General features: G+C 36.2%; 1 protein-coding gene across 1 annotated transcript in view; it reads right to left on the minus strand.

The window, feature by feature from the left end:
• TMX4 (thioredoxin related transmembrane protein 4) overlaps positions 1–12,086 on the minus strand; it is a 42,416-nt gene that overhangs the window by 21,751 nt on the left and 8,579 nt on the right. Inside the window, exons 2-4 of the mRNA NM_021156.4 lie at positions 11,104–11,219; positions 2,400–2,445; positions 636–764 (exon numbers count right to left, since the gene is read on the minus strand). Of these exons, the coding sequence (NP_066979.2) occupies positions 636–764; positions 2,400–2,445; positions 11,104–11,219 (291 nt within the window). The remainder of the gene's footprint in view (positions 1–635; positions 765–2,399; positions 2,446–11,103; positions 11,220–12,086) is intronic.

Consider the following 12,086-nt stretch of genomic DNA (forward strand, 5'->3'; position numbering starts at 1 on the left):
ATATTGCTTGATTTGCTCCTTTTTCAGTAGGGAAATTTCTTACACTTGTATATACTAACATAAAATTATCTATATATATGACAATCCATTCAAAACTAAAACCAACTGTGGAAAAAGCTGTTATGGTTTGGCCTAATCTACCTCACCAAGTATTATACAGTTTGCCGTCAAGGCCAAAGCTATCCCCTGTGGTATTTTGCGAGGCAGCCAAAGACTCCACAGGTTTTGTTTTCCACATAATATATAATAGCAATTCCTTCATAAACTATAATTCAATAAACAGTTATTCCTCTGTCTCATCAATAACTTAAAAGGAAGAAAGAATGGTAAATGATGTTCAATACCATATTTTGTAAAGAGAAAAATAGTCATTGTGGCTTAGTGTAAAAGCTGGAAAAGAGGCGTTCTGTAACCCACTCAAATCTGGCTACTTAATTCCCAGTATACTAAAAACCAGCTGAAACATATGTAGGTCACAAAATCAGAAATACTGCATGGGCTAAGCATGGCCATGAGTAATCTGGGTAATTGGAAGTAAATGTGAAGTAAAACATAGGCTTTTTTGAGACCCACAGGCTATTAACTTAAAACCTCCTGTTTTATTAGTAACACCTTGTCTTAAAAAATTGAGTTACGTTAGAGAAGCCGGGGATTTCCAGCCAGTCAGAGGCTCGACTGATTGCCATTTCTTCTCTAAGATATAATTCTGCAGGTCTTCGAAGATTCCTGGGCCACGATAACGGCGGAATATCCCATCCTTTGCACTATAAATTATGAAAACAAGTAGAAAGCAAATGCATTAAAATAACGATGTTACAGATAATAAAAATTAAAATAGCTACTGGTGATACATCTGAACGCCATCTGAACTTTAAATTGACTCAATTGAAAAATATACATAGAGATAAATCAGAAAGAGTTAATAAGCTTTACTATAAGTGAGAAATTCAAACCTAAAAGCGTTAACATTCTATGTTATCACCGTACAAAGTGTGACTAAAAGCAGAGTTCTTGGCAGTGTTTAATATGCCAAGTTACTTTTTATTATTTTTGCTACCAATTACTTTTTCTCTTACAATAGCAAAACAGCCATTGTTATCAAGTTTAAAACATTGTATCCACATTTTCAAATTTATGTCGTTCAAGGCCCTCTCCTCAAACATCAACAAAAAACGTCATACCCCCCTTCAACCTGGCCTCCCTCTCACCTACTTGCAGCAATCAGGGCCCCCAGGGAAGAGTCTAGGCTTGCTGTTTTCTCCTCTTTATGTCTCATTCACTACTTGGTGCAACTGGGGGTTCTGCTCCCAGGACTCCCTTGAAACCACTCATACTGGGGGTCTCCAATGACCCCTAAGTGCCGTATCCATTTCTGTTTCCTTCACCTGTTACTGGCATTGTTCATTCACTGCTGAATACCACTTCTTTCTTCCTTGTGCTTGGCTTTTATGACAGGAGCTCTCTGGACTTCTTCCTACTGCTCTGAGCATTACTTCTCCATTTCCTTCACTCACTGTCTTCCTTGCAGATGTCCTAATGTTGGCCAATCCCAGGTTCCATCCTTGACCTGCTTCCCTTCCCCACCATACATGTTCTCTCTAGATATATTTCAACTTTTACCTCAATGCTGAGGAATTCTCAATATGTATCTCCAGTCTAGATCTTTCTTCTGAACTCTGGATCCTGACATCAAACTGTACCTAGACTTCTCCATTTGGAACTGGGAAGGGCAAGTCACACTTATCTTTTGCATTTTTGTCTCTATCTTCCAAACCTCCTCTTATTTTAATGGCTCCTAATCATGAAGGCAGGCAATAGCTTTTACTAGTTAGTTACACATGGCCTGTTGGTAGTCATCATAGACTCTTCCTTCCCACAGCTAATCAGTCACCAAGTCCCACTGATCCTACCTCCTAAGTATCTCTGGAATTCACTACTTTCTTTATCTTTCCCCTGCCTGTACCTGAGTCTCTCTGGCCTCATCACTCAGCATGATCCAGCTATACCTGTGGTCCAGCCATAAAGAACTAGTTCAAAGTTCTCAAAAGGTAGCTCATTCTCTCTTGGGCTTTTTTATGCTATCTCCTTTAACTGGAAAGACTTTCTCTACCTTGTTGGCTTAATGCATTCCTACTTAGATATTAAGAATTACCCCACCTCTGATATCACCAGAGAAATCTCTGACTTCTCCTGCCCACCTACGCCTGACATTAGGACCTCTGTCTCTGCAGCACTCCAGGAAAGCTTCTCTTGTCACAGCTCTCACTCAGAGCACACCAGCCTTGTTTCCCTCACATGTTAAGCTGAATGAGTGGCAGTCATGGAAGACAACTTAGAATTCCTGGTACACATCTATTGATTTCTAATATTTGCAAGATTAGAAGATTATTTAAACTTACTGAAAAAATGCTGGGAGAGTGGTGACAAAGAAGCGGCCACTCAAACCTACAAGAAGCATAAACAGAACAAAAGTTACACTTAAGTCCTCCAAAAAAAGCATTCTTGAGCTTACTTTCATAATCACATTATTAAAATCACTGCAATTGTTGACTCACATTTACTATTTTTTTTGACTTACAGAAATTTCATTTCTACCTATTTTTATTACCTAACACTTTCTAGTAACTGACATACAACTTGCATCACTTGGATTGTAAGGAGGCTGAAAGGATAGGATTTAGAGTCATGCAAACTGGGGTTTTGCAAAGTTAAATACCGACTTACCCATTTATTAACTTTATAACTTTAGATTATTTAACCTTTCTTAGTCTCAGTCACCTTTTTTCTATAAAATGGGTATATAAAAGCCTAACTTAATGGTTCTAAAGTTAGATTAGGGCAAGTGTTATTAGGCTTAGCATGGTGCTGGGTACATAGTGAAGGACTCAACAAACTATAGGTATGATTACATCAGTTATCAGTTTAAAAAGAATAAGTAATATGAAATGATTAAGATCATGTATAATGTTTGTACATTTATAAAATCTGTAAGTACCGTAAAGGGAATATATGTATGTGAAAAATATTTTTTCCAATTTGTTTTAGCAAACCTTTACTGAACACTAAGTACATATCAAATGCTATGTTATGTGCATGTAAAGACAAAGATAAATAAAACCCTTAGTACCTCAACAAATATTTACCAAGCACCTTCTTTGTTCCAGAGACTGTGGTTACCACTCAAGACACATGGATGAATAAAAACATGTACAACCTTTATTCTCACAGAGCTTATAGTCTAGTAGCAGAAGGAAATAACTTATTCAAATAATCACAATCACAACCACAAACAGAGAATGAAAATATTTAAAAAAAGGGTAGGTATGCAAAAAAATGCTGAATGAGACTAGGAGTAAAGAACAGATCCTTGCCCTTTAAATGTTACAAATAAATAATATTTGCATGGGCACCAAGAATAAGTAAAGAGAATGAAAGCTTAAGGATCCTCCTGGCCAACATGGAAAAATGACAGAGGCATCATTTTAACATTTTCCATCACAGCTGCCTTTCCCACTGTAGAACAATGTGGACAAAATCAAATATCCATTCAAATTAAGTTGCTCAAATCACACATCCCTGTGGTAACTTGCAATTCAAAACACTGAAGCTTTACTTTTAATAACATGGAAAATTTACTTTCACCCATTTTATAAATTAAATCCATATTCAACATAATTTAGTAACAAATGATGCGTCTTCTCAAAGAATTCTGTATTTTATTTCATTTCAGACCAAGTGGATTCCAAAACATCTCAATTGTATTTAAAAGGAAACACAATGCTCTGGATTAGTAAAAGTCAAAGTCACAAAAAGAAACATTTACTACAAAAATTTGTCATTGTACATTGGAAAAAAAAGTTTTGTCACCAGTAACATAAACACGAGTGACCCAAAAATAGGTCAACTGAGGATTGTAACAAGCACTTCTAAGCGCATTTTCATCTCTCACATTGCTCAGGATTTCACCCTGGAGGGAACAAGGGTATCCTACAGTATACTTCCAATTCTAACTTGCCAGGGGAAAAAGTACTGTTATTCCTAAATACTTAAAAAACTAGTATATGCCTTTGGTTTAAGATAATTATTATGAACAGCTTCATACATTACTTCTTACCTAGCTATAGTTCCTTATGACCAGCCAAAAATTTTATCTAAAGACAGTTACGGTATTAAGAATGTATATTTCATTTGTATGTTTTTTTAAAATGGAATGAAGAAATTAAATAGTATCTCATCACCTCTTAAAGTTTTTTACTTAGATTTTATTTTTATCAGAATAAAGAGACAAGATTTCTATTAAATGTTAGGTATCACTTAAAGTGATTTTTTAACTTGCTCTTTTGTATGTTCTTAGTCATCACTGGCTATGACAATAAATAAAGAAGTAAATAAATAAGTAGAAAAATATTTCATAAAACACATTTAATTATACAATATATAAAACATTTCCAGATTCAGGAGGCTTTAGTCTTAAGTCTTTTAGAAATTGCACCTCATTTCAGAAAACATAAATTATCTTTACAAATAAATGTACTCATGAAAATCAGTGAGTACCAAGAAAAAGTATCAAAGTCACAGATGGTCTCTGAGGTTTTTCTGCATCTTTCTGGTTCTGGCTAAAAGGAATAACAGGAGAGTTCTTCCCAAAATTGCTAGATTAAAGGGTATAATAACTTTATGTCTCTTGATATGAATTGCTATGTTGTTTCACTGACTACTGTACCAATTTACAAGGCCATCAATTAAGGTTTATTAAAATAAAGACCAATAAATCATATCACCTCAAGATTACTTTCATTTATGTTTGTCAATATTTCTTCAAATGACAGCCTATGTGGAATATTAACAATGAGGTTGCAGCACCCAACTCAGACACGAGTTCAGTTTGCTGTCTGGAATAATATTCTGTCATATAATGATATATTCAGTAAAATCAACAACAACAAGATCCAGAACAGTCGAAGTCTTCCTTGGATGATGACACGCTACTAAATCCCTGTAGATCCAACACCATAAGAAATTCATCTCAAAAAAAAAAAAAAGTAACTTCTGGGAGGCTAAAAGACATCCGAAAACTCTGGGTCTCATCTCAGTACTCCAAAAATGTCTTCTAACCTTTAACACTGATTCTATGACGTGTCCAGGAAAATTTTCATTACCTGAAAATTAAAACATGACCACTTGGAATACAGAAGCACCATCTGAGGTTGTGGCTTCAGGGTTTAATAACATTAAGTTAAATGTGGATCTTGACAAAGAATTTGAACATCATAATAGCAGCTTGTCTCAGGATAATAGTTCAGTGCAATAACTTCAGTAAGCTTGGAAGAAACAAGTATACTCCTAAGCTTTTCAGTAAAAAGGATAAAGTTAGGCCACAAAGCCTTCCAAAATTTCTACATGCCTTTTTTACTTTAAGGGTAACTTCCACTTTAAAATGAAGACTGTGACACAACATAAAGTAGGCACAAACAGAGAATGCAGGACAGATTTTAACACTGTATCAGAAACCTTATCTTAAACACATGCAGCAAAAGAAAGAAAAATTAAAAGCTTAGAGAAAGAAAAAAATTATGGAAGAGAATTACATTTTGATAAGCCAAAACACAACAGAAATTATTTAGGTTCAGTATTAAGAAAACAGAGATAGCTAATAGCTATCTATTAGCCATTGTTGTACTATTTATTAGCATGTTATCTTTGTCATGTTACTAAACCTATCCTAGCCTCAGTTTTCTGAGTAAGACAGAGATAAACAGTTTGTTCTTCACAGGGTTGTTATGAAGCTAAAATGCATGTAAGTGTATAGCACAATCACAGGCTGAAGTAAATGCTTACTAAATGTTGTTATTATCAACAAAGAGGGTAGCAGAAGGAAAACACAATGAAAAAAAGGAGAATTAACCTTACTTTTGAGATTGAAATAAGGTTGTCAACATAATAGAAAACAAGATAAAATTTACATTTATAAAATTTAAAATATAACACTAAAGTACAGTAAACTAAATTGGCTTCTGCATTAATCAGTAGTTTTAAAGACAATGCTTACACTTGGCTGTGGCAGGAGACTGGCTTACCTCTAATCTAGTGAAATAGCCATCACTCAAGGGTGATGAGCAGCTGCTGTTTTCCTGACCTTGACAACTAAGCTCATCTGCATGGAACAGAAGGTTCAAGTATATACTCATTAAATTTAATTTCCCAAAGTCAACTCAACTGACACATCACCTGATCTACGCAGTATTAAACAGGCAATGTAATGTAACCTAATCTAAGGGCTGCCCTTTCCTCGGCTTCTACATCTCAGCCATAAAAATGCAACATGATTATAGTCTCTAGTTTTGATGACATTGGAGATGGGCAGGGAAGTGCTGGGAGGGGAAAGATGGGCCCCTGGAGAGGGCTCCACCCTCGGGGCTGTGCCCATGGACCTAGGCGAGGACAGGCATTTCTGTTTTTGTGCCCAAATGTTGCATTTCCCAAGACCACCCTGGCCTGCCATGCTCCCATCCTGTGCATATATAAACCCTGAGTCTCTAGCAGGCACACAAACAAGCAGCTGGGAGTCAAGAGGAAGACATCGGCAGAAGAACACACAGCGGCTGGACATCGAGAGGACATTGAGAGGAGCACACCAGCAGAAGAACACACCAGCAGACACTGGCAAGTCGACCCGCAGAACAACGGAAAGTTTGGCCAGGGTAGTTGGAGGACAGCCCAGCCGCTGGGTGGCCCAACTCCAGGGGAAAACCACCACCTTCCCACTCCATCCCCGTTCTGGCCTCCCCATCCACCTCGCTGAGAGCTACTTCCACTCAATAAAACCTTGCACTCATTCTCCAAGCCCACATGTGATCCGATTCTTCTGGTACACCAAGGCAAGAAGCCCTCTGTCCCTGTGATAAGGCAGGGGGGTGTCTAATTGAGCTGACGAACACAAGCCACCTATGGATGGCTAAACTGAAAGAGCACACGGTAACACACGCCCACTGGGGCTTCAGCTGTAAACATTCACCCCTTTATGCTGCCGTGGGATCGGAGCCCCACAGCCTGCCCGTCTGCATGTCCCCCTAGAGGTTTGAGCAGCGGGCACAAAGAAGCAAGCCACACCCCCAACGCACACCCTGTGAGGGAAGAAGGGAACTTTTCTCGTTTCATTGATAAATCTGAAATCTTACCTTGCTTAAAATACTTAAAAGAATATCTTAATAGATCTACTGATGGAAGAGTTATAAGAATAACTAAAGAGTATGCATGACACTTCAAAATTATTGTTTCCCCTCTTTAAATTTTACTTACAGGGAAAGAATTGAAATTATTCCTTACTAGCACTTCTGTGGCAAGGCAAGAATACACTAACGAAGATCTGCAACCAAATAGAAATTTGTATACAGAAATACACAGTAAAGTGCTCAACTGTGGGGAAAAATAATATCATTTCAATGAGTTTTTACTATTCATTCAAGACGTTAGTGTTTGTAAAAAGTAAATAAATAAACTGCTTCCAAGATAGAGGCAAACTGCCCTGGAGGCTTGCCAGTGAGTTAGTATCACATTAAGACAATCTTTCTACACTTGGCTACCAGACCCTCCTACTTCTCCCTCTCTATCTCACTAACTTCTCATAGGAGAAGTTCCTTCTCCTATGATGGAACTTCTTCTTCTTTTTTTTTTTTTTTGAGACAAAGTTATGTTCTTGTTGCCCAGCCTGGAGTGCAATAGCGCTATCTCGGCTCACTGCAACCTCTGCCTCCCGGGTTCAAGCGATTCTCCATTCTCCTGCCTCAGCCTCCCAAGTAGCTGGAATTATAGGCACCTGCCACCACACCCAGCTAATTTTTTGTATTTTTAGTAGAGAAAAGGTTTCACCACATTGGCCAGGCTGGTCTTGAACTCCTGACCTAAGTTGATCCGCTCGCCTCGGCCTCCCAGAGTGCTGGGATTACAGGCGTGAGCCACTGCACCTGGCTGCAACTTCTTTTTTTCTAAATGTTGCAGTGGCCTGTTCTCACGACTCTGGCACATACAGATCATAGATAATCTGAATTTTTCTTCTAGCTCCAATGCCAAGTATATTGATGGTCCTCAAACTTACATCTCTAGTTCATCTCTATTTGGATATCTATTTAACATCCCAAACTTAGCCCCTGTCCCAAACCTACTTCTCCTCAGTCTTCTCCATTTTCTCCTTTTCCACCCCATCTGGCAACCAATCCATCAGAAAATCCTAGTATCTCAAGAATCCCACCACTTAACACTGCTGTTACTAGTCCAAGCCACCATCTTCTCAACTCTGGACTACTGATTTACCTCCTAACCATTCTCCCTGCTTTCTTCTGATCCCCTGTAGTCAATTTTTTCACATAGCTGCCAAAGGAATTATTTTAAAATATAAATCATATCATATCTCTCTCCTGCTCCAATCTTCCAGTAGCTCCCTATCATACTTTGTAGAAAATCTAAACTCCTTGTCATGGCCAACAAGACCTCACAGGGTGTGGTCCCTAGCTACTTCTCCATCCCCATTTATCTCAAGTACTCCACTGGTGGTCCTATTGTTCTCCAAATAAGCCAAGTACACTCCTACCTGCACATGGTGTTTGCTCTGCCTGGAATGCTCCTCCCACAAAGGTTTTTGAAATTTACTTCCTCAATTTATCAAGACCTCTGGCTAAACAGGTCTTGATAAATTGAAACCTATTTATCTCTGGTCCTTCCCTGGCCATCCTAACTTAAGAGGTAGCTCCAATCATTTTGTACATTTTTATCCTACGTTTTCTTCATATCCCTTACCACCATCTGACATTATTTGCCAATTTTCTTTTGTTACTATTTATCTCCTCCACTAGAATGCAGCTCCATGAGGAGCAAGGCCTCTGTCCTCCTTATTCACCTTTGTATCACTGGTATCTAGAACAGGGCCTGTTTATGGTAGAAACTCAAATACTTGTTGAATAAACACGTTACTTCTAATCGCTATTAAAAGATTAACTGAAAGCATTAAATTTGTAATTCAAAGTAAAATTATAAATTTAAAACAGTATAATATGAAATGAAATATTTTCTATGTCTCTCAAATAATCATGCATGTAGAAGTTTATCTCCTAATTTTTATTTATGAGTTGCACTTTTAAAATTTTTATCATTTAAAATAATTCTAGAGCCTCTGCCTATAAAAAATTGTTCAAACACATAAAATAATAATCTTTTATTAGACTTTGTTTTTTCAATATTCCTACAGAATACCAGAAGTTTTTCCTTCTTCTTTTAATATTTCAAGTATATATATTTCAGATATACATAAAACCAAGTCAACATTGAATGTATTAAAAATATTTCTTAAAATCAATTTCTCTCTTATTTCATTATCAAGAAAACCTAATCAATTCATAATGTTAAAAATAACTGTAAGTCTACATTTTTAGAAGGAAAGACTATATTTAATTAAACATAAGATTTGTGAACCCATCACAAGGCTGTTTAATTCTTTTAATTCAAATTATGCTATAAATTCTGAGCAGGTGTGCCAAATTACTGAAATGCAAATTGACCAGCTGCATTTTTAAGAAACCCATCATAAAATGTGCATGGTGCCCAGTAATTAACAAGTCTTATGCCTGAATTTAGTTTACTTAAACTCTAAAGATGAAAACAAGTTTCTGGCAAAAATGCATCTGCAATGATTTAGCCTCCAAACAGAATTAACTTATTATAACAGCCAAAACCATGAACTAATAGCTTTTATTGTCCATCTCTAGATGGAGGACAATGCTTACAAAGATAGAGGAATGAGGATTCATGGCTTTTAATAGAAATCTCGCTCCACGGGTTTGCTGACACATCAATTTTAACATGTACCATCTATTCTGTTATCCAAGTAACTGGTACTTCATTATTTAAGTGTTTTTTGAACTCACAGTTTATTATAGAAAATGAATGTCTACACTTCTATACCCATCTTCTTTTTGCCCTTGTAAAAGGATGAAAGGATGCAGTAGGTATAAATTGAATGTCAATGAAAAAGATGACTGTTAAAATTTGAAAATAGCCACATTTTAGAGATTTAGATTATAAAAGGCCATCTTTTCTTCTCAGTTTATATATAATATACAGTTGTTTTAAAACTACAAACACAAATTTATTGTATATATCTTTTCAGAATTTAAAAGTCTCTGTATCACTCCACTCTTTGGGGTAAAAATGATTCATTCTTGTGAAAACTTATATCATTCACAGCTAATCAGTGTAGACAGAATGACAGAACTAGAAATTCACTCTCTGGAACCACAGTGAAATATAATATCTGATTCAGGCAAGAGCATCATGGATCTTAAAACCCCAAAAAATCATCCCAGAGGTTACTTGCTAATCACAATGTGAGATCCTTTCTTCATAATTGAGATACTTAGTGTCACCACCATATCCAAGTGCTCAAAATTAGCATTACTAATGGTGATAGCATATCCCTTCTAATGAGATGTAATATGAAGTCACAGCATCATCTTAGAAGTACTCTTGCCATAAATGTCTAAGCTAAATCATGCACCTAAACTCTCAGTTTGCAGAAAATACTCGTATAAGTTAATATTCCTATAAGTTCCATGTCACCATAAGGAAACACCTAGGAAAACTGTAGCTTTTTCTTTTCAGAATATCAATGTCATTTTAAAAAATGAGGGATAATTGTTGATTGCAAGAGACTAAAAAGACTTAACAACCAAATGTAATTTATGAACCATGATTGGATCCTCAGTCAAAAAACTGTAAAAAAAAAAAAAAAAAAAAAGACACATGGGAAATAATTAAGAAGCCTTTAACGTGCTAAAGAATTGAAGGGTAAATTATCATGATGTCGATAACTTACTTTCAAATGATTCAGCAAAATAAAAATAGAAAAAATAGAAATATATATGCAAATATGTATGTGCAAACACATACACGTAAAGACAGATCCAAGTATGCAAAAAATGTAATCTGCTACTTAAAGGTGGCCAGTTCATGGGTAATCAATATCCCAGACTCTCAACTTTTCTATATGCTTGAAAAAAATTCAAAATAAAAAGTCGGTAAACTTTTGCATTTTATGTGCAACATTCACAGTACCTGGTTCTTGAATGACATCTACCTTCCCCACACTGATCTGAAGTATTTCACCATTCTTTGCAAAAGCCTCCCATTCTGAATCAGTCTGCTGGCAGGATGGACACCATGGGGCGTAACTATAAGAGAAGAATAAGAATTATATTGATAAATATACAGAAGAAATCTGCAAAACAGAGAAATCGAGTATTTAAATTAAAAAATAAATTATTAAAAAAGGGAAATTATAAAAGGAGGCTTTTCCAAAGTCATTTGACATAGAAAAACAGAAGCACATTGTCCCCACTAGGATTTAATGTATGAATGTCAATTCTATAGGAAAAAATTTGGCCAAAGTTTGAGAATATTTCCAATAATTATTATTATCCATAAACATTTTATTTCAATGCTATTCATACAATTATGTTTCTCTCCAGATAGCTTTTGATCTTTGAGGGTAAGAGCTCTTTTTAGTGCCCCACTAAAGGAGAACAATTTTCACAGGGTGACCCTAAACTAGCCAAACCAGTTTCAAATCCATCAAAGCTACAGATCTGATGGGCAGAGACCAAATCTGTTGTTTGAGCATCCTCAAGAATGTTTCCAAGATCTGTGGTAATTCTGAACATTCTGAAAAGGAAAGTAGAAGCTATAGGCTAAACCCGCTCTACCCAACACTTTCTTAAATTTAGCAGAATTTAAAAATACCTTGGCTTTCAAGTCAGAACCCTACTTTTTACAGTTATTTTTCATTCAATAAATACTAAGAAAGCATTATGGCAGAAGCTGAGGCTACAATTGTGAAGGAGATTTGGTGCCTCCTCTCCTTGTGGACGGTACAATCCAGAAATGAACAGAGATAAGCATGGGGGGCAAACATCATATTATTCTTATTTTTGCGTCTGTTTAAAATTTTTCATAATAAAGTCTTGAATAAATAGAGAAATATACCAACTTGTGGGTAAGCAGGCTGAGCATTTTTAAAATGCCAATTCCCTCCAATTTAT

The sequence above is a fragment of the Homo sapiens genome, chromosome 20 (genome assembly GCF_000001405.40).
Source record: "Homo sapiens chromosome 20, GRCh38.p14 Primary Assembly".
Taxonomy (NCBI): domain Eukaryota; kingdom Metazoa; phylum Chordata; class Mammalia; order Primates; family Hominidae; genus Homo; species Homo sapiens.